Here is a 25222-nt window from a genome sequence, read left to right as displayed (position 1 = left end):
GAGAACAGGGCTGGGCACGGGAGGAGGGAGGGGAGGCTGCAAGTCCTGGCAGGCGCGGGCCCATCCCAGTGGGGGCAATCCCAAACCCAGGTCAGCCCACTCAGTGGAGGAGACGGCTGCCCGAAGCCGCCTGAGCTCTGGGCCAGGGACTGTCACTCTTGAAAGACGTATTGATTAAAAACAAGGAAACACGCGTAGAAGGGCAAGTCAGACCCTGGCGCTGGGCAATCTTCGGCGTGGCCTGCCCCTGCCCCTGCCACCTGCCACCAGGGGCCTCATCTGCCTCCTGGGAGCACAGTGGTCCAAGGCAGATCTGAGGGGCCACGGCAGCCGAGAAGCTCGGGCTGGAGGCTTCACTTAAGGGCGATGACGCTGCCCGCTGGCCGCCCACCTGGACGGGACCTTGGACAGTCACCTCTGAACCCAGACAGTTTCCTCCCGTATAAAATAGGAGGCCGTTCTTGACCACTGAGGTGCTTCCAGAGCTAGTGTTCAAGGCCCACACTCAGACCTGATCCTAAATTACACCAAACGCTAAGAGTCCAGGTCCACTGAGTTAAAAGGCAGAAAGCAGCCCCAGGAAAGAAGCTGGGCAAGGTGGGGGCCTCCTGAAATGCATCAAAGGAAGATGCCAAGCCTCTCTCGCAGAGGTGTGTGCTGGGGGACCCGTCCAGGGGCAGGCCGGCCATGCACTGCGGCGCAGGGTGGGCATTGGCAGGGAGTGTGGCTCTGTGGCCACAAGCAGTGTGGCTGCCGTGTGCGGTGGTGGGAGTGAGAGGGGGCAGCAGGCCTCATCCCATGGCCTCTCCCCGCAGATCCAGGAAATGACAGCCGGGGTCAGTGAGGAGCAGCACAGCCATGGCCTGGACGACATGCAGCTGCACCAGCTGGCCCTGCACCCAGCGCCCACCTCACTCAGCCATACCTTCCACCGCGCCCTGGACTGCAGGCTGGCAGGCCCCTGCGAGACCAGGGCCACTCTCCCCAGCAAGAGGTCCAGCAACTGTCTCGCCCTGGACCTGTTCGGAGAGGCTCCACCACAGGAGTTTGTGGTGTAGGCACCACCCACCCAGCAGTACCGTCCGCACCGCCAGGCTCAGCCCCTGCCCACCCCACTTCCACATGGCCCTCGTCCCTTCCTGCCCGCCAGATGCTGCCTGCACTTCCGCAGCCAGCACGCTCCACAGGTTCACCTGTAAGAGGTGTGGAGCTGGCTCTGACATCAACCTGGGAGGTAACAAACAGGTCCCGCACCTCATGCCTGTCTGCCATACACCCGGGAGCTCTTTCCCTCAGGGTCTCAGGGAGCCAGTTCAAGGTCTGGCTGTCAAGTGTCCAGAGAGCCATGGTGTTGGCCCCTGAGGCAGCCTGTCACCCATCCTAATCTGGGAGAGAAGGTGACACAGCTGGGCCCAGACCCTGGAGAGACAGCTCTGCAGTTTCCCACACTGTCAGCTCCCCAAGAGACAGTCCTGATGGGCACAGGCTGCCAGAGCTCCCAAGCCGGAGTTCACAGTCATCACTGTGCAGGACCCAGGTTCCTCCCAGACCTGAACCCCTCTCTGCAACTCCTGTTTGCAAGCGCTGGGCCTGCCAGACAGAGGCCCCTCTTGTGGTGCAAGCCCAGCTCTGTCACCTGAGATCCAGCCAGAGACCCTCCTCCACCATCCACAGTCAATGGCTGTGCTTTCCCTTCCAAGCCAGGGCTTCCAAAGACCCCACTGCCCCGGAGCTGAAGCCGACTCTGCTCCCATCTCAGCCATGAGGCCTCAGGACCCACTCTGCTCACAGGTGGCTTCCTTAAGCCATTGCCCTGGCTGGGGTTGGGCTGGTGCAGCCCAGCTGGCGGAGGGGCGAAGCTTTGGTGACAGACGGAGAGTGGGGGACTAGCTGTGCATGGCACCTGCTCTGATCCGGTGGGCTCCACGGGTAGTGCGACCTCGGTTCTGTGGGCTCTGGAAGGCCACCAGGGTAGGGTCTCCCCAGGGCTCCTCCCCCTGCACAACACTCCTGCACACGTGCAAACCTGCTGTCCTCTGCATTTAGAGGAATGGCCCGTGCATCCCTGCTAGTCTCAGGCCCATCCCAGAGCACTGAGAGGCCACAATCGTTCAGCCCTGTGCCCTGAACACCACTGCCCCCTTCACTGTCTGTGTGTGGTGAAGACCACGCCACACCACCCTCCAGCTCACTGGAGACAAGCATGAGCTTGAGCCCCATGGCCTGGTGCAGGGCTGCGTGCATTGAGGCCGCCTCTTTGACGGGTCCATCCAGGGGGACCCTCTCCTTTCTGTGAAAGGGAATCGTGTGTGTGCCCCAGGCACGTGTAATAAAGAACCCGAGCAGATGCCTCCTGCTTGAACCAGGACCAGCCTGCCTGGGGGGCTGGTGAGATGCCGGCTGTAACTCACTCAGGGGCATCGGCCACAGAAGGCTGCGTTCTGTAGATGGCCACAAGCCCCAGTGCTGCCGAGGGCAAGACTGCCCACAATTCCTGTGCGGCAGGGGAGGTGCGCCTAGTGCTGGCTCAGATGTGAGCATGTGGGCACTTCCCAAAGCCATTCCCATTAGTACAAGATGATTGATTTGCCCCGCTCCGGGGCAATGACTATCTTCTTCCTTTGAAGAAACTTGGAAGCAAGAGCCCAGTCCCATGGACCATGAGGGAAGGTACACACCAGTGTTGGGGAGACACAGCAGGTGGTGTCCACCATGAAGCAGGGTCTGAGCCAAGACCTACATGCACACATGCACACATCCACATGCATGCACACACATACATGCACACACGCACACATCTGCACACAGATGCACACGCATGCACACACACACATGCACACATCCATACATGCACACTCCCCATGTCCAGGCTTCCCCTGCCAGTCACCTTCGCCACACGCCATAGACCCCAGGGGCAGCAAAGGCCGGGCCAGCCCACCCCTAACTTGTGGAAGCATCAGTGAAGCTGGCCCGGCGCCTTGTGTCCTGGCAGAGGCGAGGCAGCCATGGCCCCTGGCTGACCCGAGAAGCTTCTCTGGCCCCACTGGGGATTCCTATTTCTGTCCTTCCTCTGGGCCTTGTGGACAGACATGGAGAATTATGCCAGATGCCTGTTAACTACCGGGTAGGGCTGCTCCAAAGACTCTAATCTCTGGTGTTCAGGGTATGTGGAGAGGACAATTAGAGGCCCGCTGCCCTGAGACTTGCCCAAGAGGGGACGGCCAGGCAGGCCACATGAAGCCCATGTGGGCTACCAGCTCAGACACACCCAGCCGGGGCCGGGGCAGACTCCCCTAAGGCTTGAGCCTCAGCTTTGCTCACCGCCCCTCCCCACAGCCCCCTTCCACGTCACCCACACCTGGAGGGGCAGGAGCGGAGCTGGAAGCAGAAGGCCATCCTGGGAGGGGGCTCCTTCCCAGACAGAAAGCAGCAGAGAGCGGGGCTGCGGGAAGTCGGGGAAGCCAACCTTTCTTTTTGCACAGATTGAGATCAGAGGTCTTTTAGGCAATACGGCTATTTTCCAGAAAAATGGACACCGACTGGTAGGGACAGGGATGTTTCCTAAGAAGGAGGGTGGGGGGCAGGGCTGGGGGTGGCCTGCAAACAGCAGAAGCCGCTGTGTACAGGGGGGCTTGTGGCCTTCAGGTGGCATGAGGCAGGCCGGTGGGGGAGGGGCACAGGGTAAAGTCCCCAATCCCTGTCTTACCCTGTCAGTGGAGAGGAAAAGAAAACCACCTGTCCCAGTCCCTGTGGACCCCCAAGGAGCAGGCCAAGGACCTCCAGCATCACAGCCTCGCATGAGCCCGGCTGGGGTGGTCAGTCCTGTGGCCCGGGCCAGGTCAGCGGTCAAGCTGGCAGGTCCAGACTCGCAAGAACGACCCAGAGAGCTTGTTCAGGCTGGGTTTCTCAGCCCCCCACTGCGTCTGCTTCTGTGGGTCTCGCTGGGCCCCGGAACCTGCATTGCTGCTGCGGGGGTCTGGGTCTGAGGGCGCAGCTCTCCCTGCTGGGTGGGGTGTGGGAGGCGGCAGACCCTGCTCCTGGGGGCAGTTGGTCTGGAGTGGTGACAGGGTGGCCCTGGGCAGGGTGTGGCCGGTTCCCTCTTGCCTGTGTTGAAGCATGGACTCCTCTGGGCCCTCAGCCATCAGCCCAGCCTCCCTCACGGAAGATGGAGAATTCCAGACAAAGCTCATCCTTCCTCCAGGAAAGCCTGCTCCATCTGCAGTAATTGACGGCCTGAGAAGCTCTGCTCTTGGGCTGAACCCCAAGCAGGAGGAGGAGGCCGGGGTCCTCAGGTGCCCATCTGGGAGGCCCGGGGCAGCCAGCAACTGCCTGTGTGTCTGGGATCTCACAGGAGAGGTGGTTCCCAAGCCGAGCATCAGCCCGTCGTGGCCCATGGACTCTGGGTTCCCCAGGCGGGGGAAATGTGCCAGAGCCACGGGGAAAGCTGAGCTCTGCGGCCCTGCGAGTGCATTCACAAAGGTTTATCAGTTTGTAAAACTTGCAGAAAAAGCCGTCCGTGTTTGGGACAGGCGGCCCCTTCCACTCAGGGTTCATCCGTCACGCTCCTTTCGCCTTGAGGGGCACTGAGGGCCCTGTGGGTGTGTGGGGCCCGCGTAGGGGAGGCTGAACTGGACACACACTTGGCTCGGTCTGCTGGGAGACGTTTCGGGGTTCCCAGTCATGTCGTCTCTACCTGTAGGAGCAGCAGGGAGTCTCAGGACAGGATGGCCAGGGCCAGAGGTCACCTGGTGAGGCGGACATGTACTCCCAACCTGGGAGGTGTGGGGACTGGAAGAGAAACAGAGCTGGCAGTGGGAGGCTGGACGTGGTAGGCAATGCCGGTCCTGCAGCCGGGCCCATGACCGTTCTCACGGCGGCGAGCTGTGATGGGGAGGCTGCCTTCCAGGTGCCAAGGTTAGAAAACAAATCCGGGGCAGCCCTGCCGGGAGAAAGCTGGTATTCTACAAAGGCGCGTGAAGAGGTGAACACGCAGTGGGGAAAATGGCGCGGGTTAATTGTTTATTAATCACAGGCAGCTCACCAATAAAACCGTCACCAAATATTGTGTTACTGTGTTTTTCAGCTTTTTAAACTTTGTGATGTGGTGGTTTTTTAATGTTTCTGTATTTAGATTTATTTTCATACTTTAGAATTTGTAATCTTATCTTTTGCCCTGAAGGAGGGCTCCCCATCACCATCTAACCATGGAAGTTTCAGGCCTCAAAACGGGGCCCAGGGTGAGGACTCCTCTGATCTCAGAACCTTGGGTCACACAGCGGCTGCCATTCCCTGCTCACATCCCCTGGCTACGGATGAGGCCCCCGGGCCACTGGGCACAGGCTGGGGCTCCCTCCCGGCTCGCCGCCGGCCCATGCCTGGTTCTCCAGCCGCCCCAGGGTGGCAGTGTTCATCCTGAGTCCCCTCCTGGCTCTGCCCTGGCATCTGTGCTCAGGTGACCAGCCAGGCCTCCCGCTGGCAGGGGTGTGGTTCTCTCCATTCAGCCACTGCTGCTGTCACAAACCAGTGCACGCAGCAGGAACTGGACGTCACCGTCACCAAGTGGGGACCTGTTCGCCGCACCCTCTGTTGTCTGTCCTTGGACATCAGGGCCATTGTCCGCCCACAGCCCTGGACATCCACGCTGTTGGGGCGGCGGCAGGGCCTGGCGCAGTGGGAGAAGAGGAAGAAGCATGTCCTCAGAGCCAGATGCAGGAGTGTGCCCTGTGGGGTGCGGGCCAGGCTCCCTCCTGAGCGGACATGGGAACACGTAACAGTGGGAACAGGCCGGCCTCCAATGGGGGCCTCTGCAGGAGGTGGGCTGGGAGGAGGACGCGCCTCAGGAGCCTCCGGGATGCTCTTTATGGCCAGGCACGGTGCTTCACACCTGTAATCTCAACACTTTGGGAGGCCAAGGTGAGCGGATCACTTGAGACCAGGAGTTTGAGACCAGCCTGGGCAACCTGGCAAAACCCCATCTCTACAAAAAATATAGAAATAAAATTAGCCGGGCATGGTGGCGCCTGTGGTCCCAGCTACTCGGGAGGCTGAGGTGGGAGAATCACTTGAGCCCAGGAGGTCAAGGCTGCAGTGAGCTGAGATCATGCCACTGCACTGCAGCCTGGGCGATGCAGCAAGACCCTGTCTCAAAAAAAAAACCAAAATGCTCTTTGTTCTCTGAGGAAGGGGCTGCCCAGCAGAAGGTGGTGGGAGGGCATGAGGCTTTGGCAGCCCTGACAGTGCATGGGTGGAGTGCCCACCTGTGGGCTGGGGTGCAGGTCTGGGAGGCCGGCACTGTCCCCCTCGGTGGCAGGTGTGTGAAGTGAGGCATCCAGTGGGGGTCCGGGGCCGCCTCCCCGCAGCCTGTCCTTGTGTTTTGCTTCTCACATGTGATTCCTGGGAGCAGGTGCCCTGGGCTCCCAGAGAGGCTGCAGGACACACACCAGCCCCGGCGTGTCCACTGCACTGTGTCTTCCCTCTGGTCACTACAACAGATCTTCATAGGCCGTGTGGCCTCACTCTGCCCACTCCTCATGATTCTGGAGGCTGGAAGTCCAGGATCGAGGTGCCGGCCAGTTCCATTCCTGGTCCAGGCCCCCTCCCTGGCCGCTACGTCTTCTCAGGGCGGAAGGGGCTTGCGAGCTCCCAGGGCCCCCCTTACAAAGGCACTAATCCCACCCGTGAGCCTCCATCCTCACAACCTCACCGGCTCCCACAGGCACCCCCTCCTAACACCATGGCCTTGCTGGTGAGGATTCCCACACAGACGTCGGGGGGCGCACTCAGCCCACCCTGCATTACACGCTGGGACACATCCGGCTCATCAGTCTCCATCCCGGTCTTGGGATCTTCAAGGCAGGAGCCTCCGGCCTTGACTGCAGTTTCCTCGGTGCCAAAGCAAGACCCCGGTACAGGAGGCAGCCAATAAATGGGCACAGAACAGGTGAAAGAGGGAGGGAGGGCCAGCGGATTGGTGCTCTGTGCACCTCAGTGGGCAGGGCTGGCTTGCTCTGGCTGTGCTAACTGTATACACCTCCTTGTCCACCCAGGCTGAGCCACAGTCCACATGGCTGTGATGGAGCTGAAGCCCCTGCTGAGGGGCAGCTGGCGTCCGGCCACGCCCACCCCACATTGTTCTGGCCCCCCCCACCCCATCCCGGGGCTTGCCCGAGGAGCATGGCTGAAACTACAGAACGTCCCTAGCACTTCAGGGAAACAGATGTAAAATATCCGTGGGTTTTGGCCAAGCTCCACCAAGAAAGGAGAAGGTCCAGGGAGTTATGAGACCCCCAGGGCGTCGGTCACCCAGGTCCTGCCCACTGGGCTAACAGCTCACTGGCCTCCCACAGCAACACCCCCAGGGTCAACATTCCACCACCTCGGTCTCCACAAATGAGGTGTCTTCCATTTCTGCTAACTAAGCAAAGTCAGCGACTGGATTACAAGTTCCCAGGCCCAGGGCCTTGGCCACGGCAAGGCTGCTGGGCTCACACTGTGCTGAGGAGGCCACGGCTGCCCCAGCCACACATGGGCCCCCGGCTTGCCCTCCGTGCGCTCCTCCTGCCTCCTCCGACCGCTGCTCTTTCCCCGAGTATCAGGGCTGGGCCAGGCTGTTCTCGAAGTGAGGTCTGCAGTTAATTCGGATTGTGAGACGAGCCTGGTCCCAGACAGTCCTGAGGGAGCATCCAGGGCCGCAAGCCTCACTGCACGGCCTCCCACCACTCCCCAGGGCCTGTTCCTGGCTACGGGGGAGGGGCACAGGCAGCCTGCGGAGGAAAGAGCAGGCAAGAGAGATCTGGGGGAGCCAGGCGTCCCCCCCATATCTGGCCCCCTCCTGCCTCACACTAAACGATGGCCAGGGCGGGACTCTGGGCACGCAGGGACCTCCGGCGAGTACCAACAGGCCCGGGGGCTGGTGTCTGTGACGCTCTAGGACGGCAGCGTGCGCCCCTCACAGGGTAATTATAGTACAGATCACTCGGTCCGGCACAGGCAGACACTTTGTCATTCCCCCTTTGCCACTGTGGACCCTTCAGGCCTCTGCACAGAGGCCGCCCCCGCAGGGAAGCCACCCCGGACCCCGAGATGGGGCCGGGCCCCTGTGGTTCCGCTCTAACAGGCGCCTGTCGCAGCTCTCACACCCTGGGTGGCTGTGGTGTCTTCTGTCCTCCCCATTTGGGCTGTATTCCCCGCACAGTCTCCACGTGCCACCTAAACCTCTGCTGAGTGTTTCCTCCCACAGATCACTGGCAAATCTCTTCAAAACCAGCGGCCTCTGACCCGCTACAAGCTGAAGAGGACAGGGTGTTTCATTCCAGCCTTGCAGTGTCCTCTGGACGAAACCGCATTTGGCACCCAGAGCTGCCCCAGCCCTGGGCCCTGGGCCCCCACCCCACCCCACCCCCACCCTGGCCCCCGGCAATCTTCCCTCCTCGGGGCCTGGGCTCCTTCCCTTCCTCCTCTCCTCTCCTGAGCCTGCCCATGTCACAGGTTCTGTGGCCAAACGGCCTGAGGGAGGCAAGGAGGGGGTGCTGTCCAGGTTCAAGGCGCCCCTCCAAATATGCCTCGTCCAGCTGTGAAGCTCCCAGACATGTCAGCCCTGGGAACATAAACCTCGCACCAGAGTCACGCACTCACCCCATAAGGCGGCTCTCGTGCATGAACAATTGTGCCGTAGGTCAGCGCTGGGGAGGTCTGGTTGTGCTCAGTTTGAGGAAGCCACGAGTGTTTCTGGAGATGCATTTCTCCGTGGCGCTGGGACTGCCCTCCAAAGGTCCACGTCTGTGAGAGAAGGAGCCGGACCACGACTGAGGGGCAGACGCTCCTTCCCGCCCACTCACAGGCGCTGCGAGTCAGTAAGTACGTGGACTTCCACAGCCTCAGCGTCCTTGCTTTTCAAATGGGTTGATCCTAAACACCTTCAGAGGCCCTGAGCCAAGAGGAAGAAGCTAATGAACATGAAGATAGTAACCCCAGAGCAGAGCTGTTAATTGATGGGACGTCTTTGAGTTTTAGTCACTGACTAGTTTTGGGTTTTTTTTCTGTATGTTTCCTGGGTCCGTCCCTCCCTCTCCCTTCTTAGGGGCAGCGTGTCAGCACCACGGTGATGGGCCACTGAAATCACTGGTGGTGGCCAGCGGTGGGGTGAGTGCCTGCAGCCCCACACCCTGGAGACTGGGCTGGTTTGCTCTGAAACCCTGGCACTCTGGGTGTGGCCAAGTGGACCAGGGTGAAGACTGGGCCCAGGCTTCCTTCTAGGAAATGAGGAGTTGGGAGTGAGAGGCAGACGAAAACCTGGGAAGCGAGGACTCAGCTGCACGCCCTGTGATGGGGCAGAGGGTTCCAGTCTGCAGCGTGGGGGCGTCGAGGGTGGCAGGCAGTGGGGTCCGGTGCCTGGGGCCCAAGCGCCCCCCACGCCCACTGCCCCAACTCCCAGTCTCTGTAGACGCCCTTGCTCTAGGCTGTGACTGGCAGGTTCCTGAGTCACTCGCGCCTCTGCCATCCCGCGTAGAGGCTGGCCAGAGCCGGTCCAACACTTCCCCAGAGGGAAGCTCTGCCATTTTCACACGGTGCCCGTCTCGGGGCACCACTGTGGGCCCCACGCAGCTGTGGGGCGAGGCGTCCACGCATCCTCTACAAAGGCAGCTTGGTTATCACAACGCCGGCCTTGCTCAGAGAGGAACTTCATCAAACACACAAAGAAGGCTTGTCGAGTGTCACGCGGCTCAGCCAGGCTGTCCCTTCGGTCACGCTATGGCAGCAGCTCGGGCCCTTCAAGGTCAGAAGGAGGACGGCAGGGCCTGGCGGCAGTTGTTGCTTGGCACTGCTGTTCAGTGCGGGCTCCACAGAGAAGCTTCCATCTCACCAGAGCTGCCACCTCCTGAGTCCATCATTTGTGCGTTGGTGTCTCTGTCCTACTAAAGGAACTTCGCACCTCAGCAAGCCGGTGAGGGGCTTCCTGAGCCAGGGGCATCTGCCTGCCTAAGGGCCAACCCTAAAGAGAAGTTTGATTTTATTTTGGGCACTGAGGGAGCATCTCAGAACCTGTGGGGTCATTCAAGTCATCACAATGATGAGGGGACACAAGTGACATTGAGCAGACAGGCACCAAGGACGCCAGGTCCCCATAAGGCACAGGACACTCCCACCCAGCAAATACTGTCCCGGGGGCCACGTGGCTTTAGCCCCCGTCAGACATTCACAGGTGGAAATCCTGCATTTGGTGATCCAGGCCTGAAACCTCACACTGCTCTCCATAAAATCAGGAAGGATTATTTCTGCAGTTTTAATGTACATTATGTGTCAGGAATGCAACAGTTGTGTAAACCAAGAGAAGCTGAAACTTTGTAACATTACCAAGAGGTTTTCACCATGTACAAAATTATATCACATTGCTATACTGCTGGTGACATGTGAGTCACAAATGGGACACTTGTGACAATTCCATGTCTGTGTGTCTGTCTGCTTTTTGTAGCGGCCACATTCCTGGAGATTTTACATGCATGTACGTGCACACACACACACAGATACAGTCACTTGGCCCTTATTTTTAAATTGTCGAATATACATAAATTGAATATTGTCTTCCTTCTTATACCGAAACTCATTTACTTCGCTGTGTGTTCAGATGTAGTTGTTTTGAAAGTTTTACGAATTGAAATATACTTATGTGTATATACACAGAAAAAAACTTTTTATTTCTCCATTATATTTTTATTTTTATTATTTATTTATTTGAGACTGAGTCTCGCTCTGTCGCCCAGGCTGGAGTGCAGTGATGCGATCTCGGCTCACTGCAACCTCAGTCTCCCAGGTTCAAGTGATTCTCGTGCCTCAGCCACCTGAGTAGCTGGGATTACAGCTGCCACCATGCTCAGCTAATTTTTGTGTTTTTAGAAGAGACGGGGTTTCACCATGTGGGCCAGGCTGGTCTCAAACTCCTGACCTCAAGTGATCCGCCCGCCTCGGCCTCCCACAGTGCTGAAATTACAGGTGTGAGCCACCGCATCTGGCCTATTTCTCCATTATATTATAGTTACATCATTATATTGATTCTTTTTTTTTTTTTAAAAAAGGCATGCTCTGTTAGGATTATATAATCTATGTATAATTTCACTTTAGGATAATCAAGGGATCCTTAAAAATAGGTGGTGTTACAAAATGGAGGCATTTGTCTGTGGGGTTCAGCACAGGGCTAGGTGGGCTGCCCACCTGTGGCCCCCTAAGCTCGCAGCCAGCCTGTGCTGAGGGGCGCTGTCAGTCAGTGGGAAACACACCAATTCTGAAGACTTAGTGTGGACAAAGAATCTTGAATATCTCATTAATATCTCTATATTGATTTCATATTGATTACACATTGAAACGATCATATTTTTTATATATGAGATTAAATCTGATCTATCTGCTGATGAGTTTATCATCCATGGATCTACAGATCTGCCATCTGTTCACTGACTGATCATCTACCATCTCACCATCATCTCACCTATCTACTGTCTATCATCTCTACCCAATTATATTAAAAACCATGAGTTGAAGCAGATGTCTCTGCTTTCAGCCCCACTGGCTGAGTCCTTTCCTGGCAGGGAGAAGCCCAGCATCTCTGTCTTCAGCGCATGATGCCCCGTGCACCTGCCCTCCTGGCCACCCTGACTAAAAGCTGGACCCCAGCAGCCTGGGCCAGGTCCCCACTCGCAGTGAGGCAGAATGCTCCGCCCTGGGAAAAGGAGTACAGGAAAAGGCCGTTAGCACACTGGGCTCTGAACACCCCCTGCCTGTCTCCACCCCTTGCTCTGGGCTCCCAGGAAGGGAGGGGGTTCCTACCCTTCTGCCCGCCATGAGTCAGGACCACCACAGCTCACGCTCCTCACCTGAGCCGCATGTGGGCACAGGTTTACTTGGTTTGTGCTAACTACTAGAAAAGACATTTTACCTCCCTCTTGCATAAACAGGATAGAGTAAAAAAAAAAAAACATTTTCCTGGCATTGAAATCATCTGAAAGCTACCAGCTGTGACTCCTCTCCAAAACCTGCTTCCCAGCCAATTCTCAGAGCCAAAATGGTTGCTGGTAAGAAATGGGGTATTCTTGGTCTGTGCTTGTGACCCCCCATTCCTCCGCACATGCGTTCCTCCTGGGACCCTGCTCTTGGATCTGCTGGGTCCGAGAGGGTACATCTGTCACTGCGGGCCCGGTGGAAATGGGGGCAGCCCCAGGGGGCACCCTTCCAGCAGAGGACGCGGTGGGCAGCTGTCACCATGCATCCCCTTGTGAGGCGGAGAGGAGCCCTGTGGTGGGGTGGGGCTTAAACGTGCCAGTTCAGCCCCACGGCAGGGGAAGTCACAGGCCAGTCTCCAGAGCTGCTCCTTGTCTCCTTTAAGGCTCCCAACCCTCTGGTTTCACCTGGCTTTGCCGAGGAGGAAGCCAGGCTTTAGAGGCCAAGCAAACCGTCCAGGGATGCAGAGCTGGGAGGTGGCAGAGCCACCATGGAAACCAGAGTCCATCTGGTCCTGGAGCCTGTGGTGAGGAATCCTGGGGGCCGCGTTTGTGTCAAATGAGACGACAGGTTCGTGAGGCTGGCCCCAGACGCCCCCTCCCTGCCTGGCACAGCTCCTCATGCGGAGTGTGGTGGACAACCAAAAACAGTGGTGAAGAAAGAGGGAGCCTGGGGGGAAAGGAAAAGCACGAACTCGAGGAGGCGGAGGTGGCAGCTCTGTGTGAGGCCTGGTGGCTCTGGGGCCGTACGTGCCCAGCAGCACCTCCCCAGCTCACGGGTGGGATCTGCACTGGGCCCAGGCTGACCAGCTCCCACTGTGGGGCACTCACGCCCCCTGCCCTCCTGCCCACAGCTACTTCTGCCGGCTCCCGAGTTTCCCGGGGCAGGGCCTTCAGGGCCCAGGGTGGCCTCTGGGGAGAGTCTGATGAGGACAGCGAGTGCCTGCTGTGACACCTGGTGGCCGCCGCACTGCAAGGAGCTCCTCTGTGAAGCCTGCCCTGCCTGATGGTCTGGCAGGAGTTGGAGGTCCCATCCACATTCATGAGGGTGCTTTGGAATAAAGCCAGGTTTATTGAGTCCACGTGAAACCTGTTTATTTCTAAGCACATATGCATTATAAAGCAAGGACAAGAAACACAGTTTTAGGAGAAAAACTTGTTAATGCATTCAATCCGGCCTCCTCTTCCCCTCCGTTTGGGAGCTGGGCGGCTTCTTTCGGGCAGGGCCTCGCTGGACTTGCCGAGCTCGGATCCCGAAACCCAGGCCCTGCAACGTCTGTGCCAGGTGCCTCTGGCTGGGAGAAATGCAGAGAATCACCAGTAACTTCGCATCGCCTCCTTTAAAATAGAAAAACAACATGCAAGCTGGAAAGAAGAGCAGCATCTGAAAGTGCCAACATGCCAGCAACCAGGGCCCGAGATGGGCGGCTGCAGAGAGGGCCGCCCGGCGCCCCAGCGGGAAAGTGGCCACGTCTGGCAGGTTCCTGGGACGGGGGTCCAGGAGGGTCAGCAGCCGGTCACTAGCGCCCCTCACCCGGGTCCGGGAGGGTCAGCAGCCGGTCACTAGCACCCCTCACCCTCCGGGAGGGTCAGCAGCCGGTCACTAGCACCCCTCACCCCGGTCAGGGAGGGTCAGCAGCCAGTCACTAGCGTCCCTCACCTGGGTCCGGGAGGGTCAGCAGCCGGTCACTAGCACCCCTCACCCAGGTCCCGGAGGGTCAGCAGCCGGTCACTAGCACCCCTCACCCGGGTCCGGGAGGGTCAGCAGCCGGTCACTAGCGTCCCTCACCTGGGTCCGGGAGGGTCAGCAGCCGGTCACTAGCACCCCTCACCCTCCGGGAGGGTCAGCAGCCGGTCACTAGCATCCCTCACCTGGGTCCGGGAGGGTCAGCAGCCGGTCACTAGCACCCCTCACCCTCCGGGAGGGTCAGCAGCCGGTCACTAGCACCCCTCACCCTCTGGAAGGGTCAGCAGCCGGTCACTAGCACCCCTCACCTGGGTCCGGGAGGGTCAGCAGCCGGTCACTAGCGCCCCTCACCTGGGGAAGCTGCAGGCCTTCTACTCACACTCCTGTGTCCCGGGAATTGGGAGGTATGAAGTCAGCCCTAGGTTGAGTCTGCACATGACCCTGAGGGACGCTCAGCCCCCTGGGGCTGTTCTTTCTAGATCTCCCTCATGCCCACACCTGCTGCTCACGGCCCATGGCCCTGTGGCTCCCTCAGGCCCCCCTGGGGCAGGGGCCGTGTGCCCAGGACTTCTCCTCCTGAGGAATGCTGTCTCTTCCTGTTTTTCAGGACCCGTAACGAGGGTTAAGAATTACAGATGAAAACCAAAAACAGTGGAGAAGGAAGGGAGAGCTAAGGGGGAGGAAAAGTGCAGACCCCAGAGGCCAAGGCCAGGGCTCCATGAGGGACCTGCTGGCTCTCAGGTACTGTGTGCCCCACGGTGCCGCCCCTGAGATCACGGGTGGGCTGTGCCCCTGACCCAGGTCGCCCTGTCTCTCTGTTGGGGCTGCGAACTTTGGAATCCAAGAGTACCAGGTGGTCTCTCTCTTAAAGGCAGAATCCAAAAATATGCTCCTGTGAACAGCCCTGTTATTCACCGTGTGGAGGAAGCCAATTTGCCATGAGAGGGGGAAATACCCCACAATGAGAGACAGGGAGAGTGTCTGGAACATTCCAGCCTCCCCGAGTCCCGAGCACCAGCGGCCCCTCCACCACCTCCCAGGGTGGCCCTCCCAGGAAGGAGGAGCCCCCCGACTGTGGTGGCCATGTGCCCCTGCCGTCCTGCAGTGGCCGTTTCTCAGGACACGGCCTACAGGGCCCAGGGCCACCTCTGGGGGACTCTGCCTGCACCCTGAGTCAGGAAGAGCCGCAATGCTTCCTCGGGTCCTCCCTTTCAACCAGTCTGGAGTCTGAGTCGGGGGAGGGGGCACTAACTGAGCTCCCCAAAAACCGCAAAGCCCAGATCCAGCCACAGCTGGATGACTCCACACAGGGGCCGCCTGTGCCCCACCTGGCACTGGTGCTTAATCTGTTGCGTCCAGGCTTCTGGCACCTGCCCCCAAAAGACCCAAGGAACTTGGGGCCTAAGCAGGTCTACACAGCCGGAGGGACCCAGGCCACACATGCAGCAGCAGCCTAGAGAGCCCTCAGCTGCTCTGGCGGACCCCTGGTGAAGAGAAAGGCCAGGGCTGCCACCCTTGAGAAACTGAGCCCCAACCAGGAGGCAAGTCACACACAGACCGAACAAGCACACAATCAGGCCAAGGTGAGACGGCGCAGGAGAATGACCACCGTGCCGTGGGAGTGCCAGCTAGCCACAGCGAGGACACAGGAGGTGCAGGGGGTGCATGGGTGGCCCTCGAGGACGTGCAGGCCAGAAGTGTGTGCACATGTCCTGGGGTACGTGGTCCCCCATCCTGGGGCATTTTGGGGAAAACGGTTACCGAGGCAGTCCTGAAGGAGGTGGGTGAGCCTGCTGTTCCGGTACGGGGCATGGCCACGGTGCTCCAACAAAGCCCCCAGGACGCCTGCCAGGGCCGCAAGGCTGCGGCTGATGCACGCCATCTCCCTCAGGGCCAACCCGGTCACTCCAGACACACCTGGACAGGACCGCCACGCACCATCACCGTTTGCACCAAGAAAGGAGGCAGGAAAAGCAAAACCGGCTCCTTGGGAGGAGCGGCTCTCAGGCAGGTAGAGGGGAGGCCATGGACGGGACAGGCATGAGAGTGAGTGTCTTTCATGGCTCTGCTCACAGCTCAAAGCGAGCTCCTGCTGGGAACTCAGGTTTTCTGTTCCCAGAGGGCCCGTGTGAGGAACACGACTCTCGGGTTGCCGGGGTAAGAGAACCAATCCCTGAGAATGTAACGGGATTTGGAACTCACCTGTGGAGGGGGAAATGCCTGGCTCGCCCAGAGCTTCCCGGGCTGCCTGGTTGCACATCCAGCTCCATCAGATCATAGGCTTCTGCAGCACCCACCCCCCAGGGAAATGCCTGCCCCTGCTCACCAACGCACTCGCTGCCGGCCGAGTCCACGAGCTGTAGTCGAGCCTGCACCTGCTCCGCATGCCCTGCGGGGTTCCCAGGAACCAGCTGTGGAGCCAAGGCCCCTTGAGAAGCTCTGCGGCTCCTTCCTGCCCTTCCTGCCTCTGTTTGCTCCCTGGGGAGGGTGGCACTGCAGGCTTGGTCTGCTGCAAGGGACCAAGGAGCGACGAGGAGGAAAACAGTTGCATGAAGCCATGAGGCTGTGCTTTGCCTCAGTCAGAGCCGAGAAGCTTCTGAACTGCACCCTCCTGCCCACACCTCCCACCCAGTAAGAAGTGGGATTTCCGCAGAGGTCCAGGGGATAGTGGCTTCTCTGGGGGAAAACACAAGTTAGAAAGCAGCTTTCTTCACTGTGGAAGGTTGAACTAATGCCTAATTGGCCCAGAGGAAATCAAATAATGCTTCTTAGGAAGACTTGGTAATCATGTTAATTAAAATCCCACTCAGAAAATCTATGAGCCCTTTTAGAAATAAATTCTACAATCTGTTCGATAATCTTCCACACAAATCCTAACAAAAGGGCTCTTAATTTTAATGCAAATGTCTTTGTAGTGTGTTATTCCTAAACAAACTTCTTAGGTTTTTTAAAAAAGCAAAATAACATTTATTCACTGTGCAAAACATAGAAAGTATACACAATTTTTTTTAAAGGACATGAAATCCGGTCTTATTCCCACCACCACTGGCAGCCACACCGCCCCTGTATCGGGAGCGTTTTTGGTAGAGATTGTTGGTGTTCCCTAAACATCACACGCCTGTGCCTTTCCAGCCCCTGCGGTACAAGGCCGTGTGCCCAGCTGTGGCCCACTCTGGGCTGGCCAGGGGCTATTGTCAGCACCTCCCCGTCACCTCTCCTTCCCTTGCCTGAGCAACCTTGGAGGCCAAATGTTTCAAGTGCCACGGTGGCAAGAAGGATGGGGAATGTTCAGCCACACTGGCCTTCAATATGAGTGAGAAATGGCCTTTCCAGTGTCAACCCACTGAGACCAGGTTTTGATGGGACTACAGTCTCATGTTCCGGCCCCAGACCCGTGGCTCTCCAGGTGTGGTCCCCGGAGCCGCATCCTTGCAGAAACGCACACTCTGGGTCCAGTCCCAGCCCTGCTGAACCTGAGCATGGGTGGTGTCTGCTATTAGTTCCCACCACCTGCTGCAGGGAATTGGACGCAGCTCAAGTTTGAGAGTTGCAGCCCAGGCTTCACAGGCCTGTGTTCTTTCTGTTACATAACTGGAATCATTTTATATACTACATAGTTTGAAATTTTGGTTTTAAACTGAAATTACACTCATTGTTTCTTCCATGACAAATGCATGTACTCCAAGGTGTATTATGCCCTGCTTTTCTTTCTGCATTATATTTTATTTAGCAGAGTGTTTTCCTCCCTCCCACTCTCACTTTTTCTTCTCAGCCTGGGATCCCAGTGGACTTTTGGGTTTGGGATGCAGATACTGAAAAGGTGTGGCTGCTGTTCCCATGCTGGGTCCCATGAGAGGCCTTGGATGCTGCAGGCATGCTGATTTTTCTTCTTCTTCTTCTTCTTTTTTTTTTTAACAGAGTTTTTGCTCTGTCGCACAGGTTGGAATGCAATGGCACAATCTCGGCTCATCGCAACCTCTGCCTCCTGGGTTCAAGCAATTCTCCTGCCTCAGCCTCCCGAGTAGCTGGGATTACAGGCTTGCACCACCATACTCAGCTAATTTTTGTATTTTTAGTAGAGACAGGGTTTCACCATGTTGGCCAGGCTGGTCTCAAACTCTTGACCTCAGGTGATCCACCCGCCTCAGTCTCCCAAAGTGCTGGGATTACAGGCGTGAGCCACTGTGCCTGGCCTGATTTTTTTCTTCTTAAGTGGGTTTTTCTATTACTTGCCACTGACCAAGCACAAATGGTGACTTACCAGTGCTGTCAGAGCAGGAGGCTGTGGTTAGAGTCACCGTAATTATCAGGTGAGACCTGGAGGAATCCGCGTGCACCAGGGTGGGGTGCTTCGCCCTGAGCTGCAGACCTCCATGAACGAGCTCCATCAGTTTCGAGGCGCTGCCGACAGCCCTACAGACAAGGCAAGCAGTGGGGAACACAGTGAGGGCGGCCCCCCTTACCTAAGGCGACTTCCAAGACTCCTCGGCTCAGGGAAGCCTCTCACATGAGCCACGCGTGCCAGTGGGGTACTGAAGCCAGTCTCAGGCACAATAAATCATGGTAAAGCAAACTTTTTCCTTTTGAGACCTAACCAACCTATAGCATCTCTAATTGCTGACCCTGAAATAATGGACTGTTTCAGAACAAAATCAGAGGTTGCTAACCTTTTCAACATCACCTATTCCTTTATTTATTAGAGCCTCCAGGAACCATGTTTTAAAAATATTTTGTGTATCAAATCTGATTTGTAAAATAAAGGTTTAACCCATTTCTCCGTGTTAGTGGATGAGATATGACTGCTAATCAGAGCTCTTAATCAGCAGGAGATAACATTTCCATCACAGTCTGTCAGTCAAAGGCTCAAATTTTGGGCGACTTTGTGTGACCGTATCAGGGTTGCATGGATGATTTCCTTCAGCTCTGTGAAACATTCAGCATGGCTGGTGGGCCCTTCCCTTGCTGCCTCCGGGGCCCAGGATGGGCAGCCTGACTGGGCCCTCACTCATGGGGAGGGTTCCTTCTGTCACCTCCCAGCTGCACCCCCACTGGGGCAAACCCAGCACATCCATGTGGATTTGACAATAGGGAACTTTGAGGAAAATACTTAATATGGGGGATCCTCACTTTTACAAGAGGATTCATTATCATATTCTGTGAAATACTGATATTTACAAATGTGGATGAGTTCATCTCTCCTAGCCTGAGTGGGGTGGGCAAGTTCTTTCACCTCCACAAGTCTGCTTCCTCATCTGTCAGATGGGATGACGCCCATCTGAGGGGCTCTTATGAAGGTTTTTTTAAAGATACATTTATTTATTTTAATTTTGATTGTAAAAAATATTTTTTGTGGTTTTTTTTACTTTTATCTCTAACAGCTTTAAGATATTAATGACATGAAAATTGTGTATGTTTAAGGTATACACCTTGATATTTTGATATGCGAATACATTGTGAAATGATCACCCATTCCAGCTAATTAACAAATATATCATCCTGACATAGCCACCTTTAAAGAAAGATCATTCTTACAGCAAATTGAGAGTTGTGCAACACATACGAAGCATGAAAACACACAAGGAACCACTCAGTGACAAGGAGCACTGATCGGGCCACCACGGCCGATTCTCCTTGGGATCCTTGGGCGTGGGGAGCTCGTTTAGAGACGTGCAGCCTCCTGACCAGGTGGGAGGGGCAGGTGCCATTCTCACTCAGAGGCCAGCAGCACGGGGCAGGTGCAGTACTCACTCAGAGGCCAGCAGCGCAACCTCTGTCCGTCCATCCTTGGCTGTCACCACCTCACGCTTGACCCCCGACACTGCTGCAATGCTGTCTTTGGCCAGAAGGTCAAAAATGTCATTATTGTAAACTTCCACTATGGAGACTTCAACCTTTGGGCTTCTTGAGGTATTTTCCAAAATGAGCCTGCGGGAAAACACACAAGAGAAACTTACAGAAAGTCTCACAGAGTGATTTTCAGTGTAAGCCAATCATAGCCCCAGACGCCCTACAGGATGCTCAGTAAGACTGCTGGGGTCCGAGCAGAGGGCTGCATGTTACATACCCGAAGATCACTCAGGGAAATAGGGTGTGCCATTTAGGTTGTAGGGTGAATACGTGTCTTGGGAGCAGTTATTTTATCAGAGTTATATTTAAACCAACACTTTTGCAACCAGTACACTGAGGATTCTAAACACACAGGGCGAAGAAGCCTGACTATCCCATGGCTGTGGTCTAGAAATTACCATGCCCCATTGACCAATCACTGCAGACACCCAAGGCAAGCTGCAAGGATGTTCAGGACTCTAGCACTTCTCCAGTGATGGGGTTTGTTTATTTTAAAACTTTTCCACTTCAGGGAAGCTTCAGTCCAGAGTTTATTCCAATTCCACTTACGCCTTCCAACTGCAACTTTCCTGCAAGACCCGTAAAACCAGCTCGGGCTCATTAAAAAGCAGCTGCACAGCCAGGCACGGTGGCTCACACCTGTAATTCCAGCACTTCAGGAGGCTGAAGTGGGTGGATCATGAGGTCAAGAGATGAAGACCATCATGGCCAACCTGGTGAAACCCCATCTCTACCAAAAATACAAAACTTAGCTGGGCGTGGTGGTGCATGCCTGTAGTCCCAACTACTCGGGAGGCTGAGGCAGGAGAATCGCTTGAACCTGGGAGGTGCAGGTTTCAGTGAGCTGAGACAGAGCAAGACTCCATCTCAAAACAAAAAGCAGCTGCACATCTTATTTTGCTCCATGTTTTAAAGAACTATGCACTGGCTTGTAGGAATGTTTTTAAATAAAGATACTACAGAGAGAGAGAGAGAGAGAGAGAGAAATAAAACCTTAATCCCACAACAAGAAATGGGTGAGTGCTAACCCTGGATTCCCTCCCTTTCTCTCTCCTCCCTCTGGCTTTCTGGTTTGTCTCTGACAAAACTCCCCTTCCAACCTCGTCACCAAATAACAAAGGCCTCTTTCTTTCTGCTGGAGGTGACCGCCTCTCTACCACCTGCATGGTGATGTCAATCCGATGGTGAGCATTGTGCTTTTCTTGTTCCTAAGGCTATTCTGAGAACCGGGCGGGAAGTCCTCAGTGACAGGATGCTATCTGTACTCAAGGGAAAATCCAGCAGGAATGTTTCCCACCCAGGCGCTGCCAGGCTGAGTTTTTCATCCAGATCTAGAGGAGTTTTGTCTTCTAATGACAAACAGTCAAGAAAATGATGAAGACTAAAATGAAAGAGAAAGTAAGTAAAACTCTCAGGTAAAAATCATTATTGGCAAAGCATCAAGATTTGGATTCGACAGGTTCAGCACTGGGGTTTGCTGAGAACACTCTGAGTGTGTGCAACAGTGAAACATGAAGTTAGCTAAGCTACAGATTTTATTTTACTTTATATTTATTTATTTATTTATCTGAGACAAAGTCTCGCTCTGTCACCCAGGCTGAAGTGCAGTGGCACATTCTCGGCTCACTGCAACCTCTGCCACCCAGGTTCAAGTGATTCTCCTGCCTCAGCCTCCTGAGTAGCTGACATTACAGGCATGCACCACCACACCAGGCTAATTTTTGTATTTTTAGTAGAGATGGGGTTTTGCCATGTTGGCCAGGCTGGTCTCAAACTCCTGGCCTCAGGTGATCCACCCGCCTAAGCCTCCCAAAGTTATGGGATTATAGGTGTGAGCCACCATGCCCAGCCTAAACTAGAGTTTTTACATTCTCCTCCTCTCCACACCTTAGGCAAAATGCACCACATATCCAGAAACTTAACCTCCACACTTGGGCCCATCATTTATGTGTCAGTTTGTCTCTTTGAGTGTCACAAAACCTAAGTTAGAGATTTCTCAATTACATAATACCGAGGAGTTAATTTGAGAGATTTCCCACAAGTAATCATTGGGCTGTTGACTAGATTCTAGGGACAATGGTGAAAACCACAGGCTGCAGTCTTAGCCTTTAAGAAGCAAAGTGTTGAGAAGGCGAGGCACACACGCAAAGGACTCCAGGTCCTGCAATGAACAGTGTGATTCCAATGCACGCAGCTCCCCTGACTCTCTGGGGCGGGGAGGGGCGGGGCCAGGCTTTGTCTCTGCCATCTGTTCCTGCCCATTTTCTACTGGGTCATAATTACCCGTTTCCACTCTAGACTTTTTAAAAGCAGAAAACTGATCACATGCACTTTTGGATCCCTTGTGCCTCTGACAGTGTGTAGCAGGTGGAGAAACATCACACACTCCTGTTGATAAGGATGACAGCGGAGAGCAGTCGGGAAGGAGGCGGTGTCAACAACCAGGTTTAGAAGAAAGGAGAGAGGCGTGCAGAGCCAAGGAATCCAGGCAGTAGCATTTTATTTACTTTAAAACGACAGGAAATGGCTTATCTGGTGACTTCAGCAATCTAAGAGTAGTCCTTTTCAGGGTAAAGGGTTCCTGTAAACTATCTCTGATATCAGCACTGATGTCATTGTGGTTTTGTATCATTTTGGGCAGAGGGCCGTTTGCAACTTGAGTCACGAACACCCAAGCTCACCCCCAGCCCTGGCCCAGTGCACCCCTCTCCAGGTCGTGTGTGGATGTGATGAGGGAGGACACGGTCCGTGTCTGCTCCGATTCTCGTTTCTGCAAACGACGAAGGTGAGGTGTAGGGAGAGTACGGCCTTGCCCGGGGCCACTCACTTGGAAGAGCAGAGATTCTGAGACTCTGACTGAGGGATTCCAGTGCCGCAAATCACTGTGCCCTGGAGGGAGACGCACAGCACCCGAGACTCAGAACAGCAAAACGGAAAAACCATTTTAGAAACGAGGCGACTGAAACGCTTGCCAGTAATGCGATGGGCCCATTGGTAACGCTGATTATCCGGTTTCTGGAGAGGCGCAGCCGCCTGGCCATCTTCCTGATGGATCTTCCCTAACACTTTTAGGCAGCTAACAGCTCTTCCCAGTGCTGCCTCAGCTCAGTTCCCGCCTCCTCCGCAGGGCAGTTCCCGCCACCACCTCAGCACCGTTCCCGCCCCCCCCGCAGCGCCGTTCCCGCCTCCTCCGCCGCGCCGTTCCAGCCCCGGCATCCCTTTGCCGCCCTGGATATGCTTCCGTCGGCAAATTCCAGAGCCAAACGGAAACGCAGCCGTGGAATGTACGACGCCTGCTCTCACTGGCTGTGCATCGTGCATCTCTAAGCCCAGCTGAGGGGGAAACGGCCTCGGAAGCACGCACGCAGCTCACACTGGGAACACTGCGAAGCCGACGTCCGGGACGTGCTGCCACACCACATCGCCCCCTTCCACCGTGGTGTCCCCGCTCTCACAGACGAGAAGAGACGCGGCGGGGGGTCTTGAAACTCCCACCATTCTCTCCCGCTTTCTACCTCAGTTCCCCAGGGCTCTTGCCTGAGCCTTTGTTTTTTCTACCTCAGTTCCCCAGGGCTCTTGCCTGAGCCTTTGTTTCTGGAACTTAAAGAGTTTGCTTAGCAGAAGGAAAAATGACTGGTTGAATATTTAATGACATGCACCATCCATGCAAGCTCGAACTCCTGACCTTGTGATCCGCCCGCCTCGACCTCCCAAAGTGCTAGGATTACAGGTGTTTGAACCACCGCGCCCGGCCACTGAGACGACTTTTTACTATTTTATTTTTCCCTAGAACTAACTATGTTGGTGAAATCATGACACGGGCAGTGGGTCTCTTTCGAGAATGTGCTAACGGGTCGGGAGCATCTTCGCAGGCCATGTTGGCTGGACCCCTGAAGAGAAGCGAATGCATACACTCCTGATGGCGGCAGGAGGAAGGGCGACGGAAGGACGGGAGTTTTCCCTCTGTGCTTCCCATTCCAGGACAGAAAACCTCCATCCCTCACCATCCCCCACCTCCACCCCTGCCTAAGGAACCCTGTAACTCGGGATCTCTTTCAAGAAGTTTTGTCTTAGCCAGGCAGGGAGACTCATGCCTATAATCCCAGCACTTTGGGAGGCCGAGGCGAGTGGATCACCTAAGGTCAGGAGTTTGAGACCAGCCTGGCCAACACAGCGAAACTCCGTCTCTACTAAAAATACAAAAATTAGCTGGGTGTGGTGGCACACTCCTGTGATACCAGATACTCGGGAGGCTGAGGAGGGAGAATCGCTTGAACCCAGGAGGTGGAGGTTGTAGTGAGCTGAGATCACACTATTGCACTCCAGCCTGGGCGACAAAGCAAGACCTTGTCTCTAAAAAAATTTAAAAATAAAGTTTAGTCTTAATGATGGAATTGCAACATAATTTCATCACAGGATTGGTAGCAATAATGCCCAGAAGTATGAAAGCACTTCATAGTGTTGAATGTATCTGATGAGATTATGGGGTTTGATCACCTTCTTCAAATGGTAATAATTTTTCCCACGTGATAACCAAGGTGCTGACCGCCTGGCTTCCCTGCCATATTTCTCTGCCCCACTCATCACCATCGGCAGTACCTGAAGAGCTCCTCAGCCACTCTAGGGATAATTCCTAAGTCACTCTGTGGGTCAAGCGGCAGAACAGGGCCGTCGTCCGAATGGCGTCCCAGCATGGTATAGCTCTTTCCGCTGCCCGTCTGTCCATACGCCATAACACAAACATTGTACCTAAAATTCAGAGCAGATTCAGTCCAGCAAAACACACGTGGGTGCCAAGAAGATTCCAGGAAAAATTTTCACTTGTATGAGAAACTTCAATACATTTCATTTCCTATTCTCCTGTTACTCCATTTCTTATAAATTAGGTTTTCATTTAACTACAACTATTTTTTGCATAATCTATCCTTGTTGCTATCTTGTTGTACGACATTGGATTAAACGGTATTTGCACTGACACACACACAGCGTGGGTTCATCCATCCCGGTTTCTCCTGGGTGTTTTCATCTCCCCATCCACCAGCTCAGCATTCACATAGGGATTCTGACCTTAGCAAGGCCTTCCTAAATCCCCACACCTTCACTGTAACTATCTATTTTTTTTTTTTTTTTTGAGACGGATTCTTGCTCTGTCACATAGGCTGGAGTGCAATGGCACAATTTTGGCTCATTGCAACCTCTGCCTCCTGGGTTCAAGCAATTCTCCTGCCTAAGCCTCCCAAGTAGCTAGGATCACAGGCATGCATCAGCACGCCCAGCTAATTTTTGTATTTTTAGTAGAGATGGAGTTTCGCCATATTGGCCAGGCTGGTCTCAAACTCCTGGACTCAAGGGATCCTCCTGCTTTAACCTCCTAAAGTGCTGGGATTACAAGCATGAGCCATTTTTGCGTATGTTTCATACAAAAGAAAAATTTTGTATTTTGTAATTGGAAGCGACTTTGAGGTGTTCATGTCCACAGTCAATCCACATGTGCTGAGGTCCTCTCTGTGACGTAGCACCTGCTGCCTCTCGGCCCCAAGACTCTCAATTAGCTAACTGCAGCTTATTTCAGAGAAGTTAACTACCAACATCCCTACATTTCCTTCCAATTGTGCTATTTAGCCCAAAATATTAATGGGAGGATCAGAAATATTTGGAAGAATATTTAAAATAAGTATGATAGAAAATCATCCTCTTA

At 55.2% G+C, this 25222-nt stretch overlaps 2 protein-coding genes and 1 long non-coding RNA gene across 19 annotated transcripts in view, besides 1 other annotated feature; 2 read left to right on the top strand and 1 right to left on the bottom strand.

The window, feature by feature from the left end:
• The window catches only part of FRMD1 (FERM domain containing 1), a 39962-nt gene extending 34902 nt beyond the window's left edge, over positions 1–5060 (top strand). For 11 of the 13 annotated variants that reach the window (XM_011536143.2, XM_011536138.2, XM_011536137.2 and 8 more), the window contains one exon: positions 816–5060. In XM_011536143.2, coding sequence (XP_011534445.1) covers positions 816–1058 — 243 coding nt within the window. In that variant the 3' untranslated portion in view covers positions 1059–5060. Of the gene's footprint in view, positions 1–431; positions 651–815 lie in introns of all 13 variants that reach the window. The other 2 variants (NR_110312.2, NM_001122841.3) reach the window with 2 other exon arrangements.
• Positions 9239–9738: an enhancer, noted in NCBI's record as "H3K4me1 hESC enhancer chr6:168449097-168449596 (GRCh37/hg19 assembly coordinates)". NCBI's record gives its function as "activates a minimal SCP1, AML or CMV promoter by ChIP-STARR-seq in naive H9 embryonic stem cells {active_cell/tissue: H9 hESC(naive)}" and the evidence as "EXISTENCE:reporter gene assay evidence [ECO:0000049][PMID:30033119]".
• Positions 11993–12961, top strand: LOC105378135 (uncharacterized). The gene is made up of 3 exons (XR_943283.2): positions 11993–12065; positions 12377–12517; positions 12845–12961. It is a non-coding gene; the product is annotated as an uncharacterized LOC105378135 (long non-coding RNA).
• A 102-nt stretch (positions 12962–13063) lies between these two features.
• Positions 13064–25222, bottom strand: part of KIF25 (kinesin family member 25) — a 47421-nt gene continuing 35262 nt past the window's right edge. For 2 of the 5 annotated variants that reach the window (NM_030615.4, XM_047418749.1), the window contains 6 exons: positions 24124–24273; positions 19426–19602; positions 17939–18090; positions 16004–16186; positions 15439–15594; positions 13064–13328 (listed from right to left, as the gene is read on the bottom strand). In NM_030615.4, the coding sequence (NP_085118.2) occupies positions 13159–13328; positions 15439–15594; positions 16004–16186; positions 17939–18090; positions 19426–19602; positions 24124–24273 (988 nt within the window). In that variant the 3' untranslated portion in view covers positions 13064–13158. Of the gene's footprint in view, positions 13329–15438; positions 15595–16003; positions 16187–17938; positions 18091–19425; positions 19603–22351; positions 22652–24123; positions 24274–25222 lie in introns of those variants that run through there. The other 3 variants (NM_005355.5, XM_011535803.4, XM_047418750.1) reach the window with 2 other exon arrangements.

This window comes from Homo sapiens, chromosome 6 (assembly GCF_000001405.40).
Source record: "Homo sapiens chromosome 6, GRCh38.p14 Primary Assembly".
NCBI lineage: Eukaryota > Metazoa > Chordata > Mammalia > Primates > Hominidae > Homo > Homo sapiens.
The sequence above is the reverse complement of the archived record's forward strand: the minus strand, read 5'-3'. Positions and strand labels throughout refer to the sequence as shown.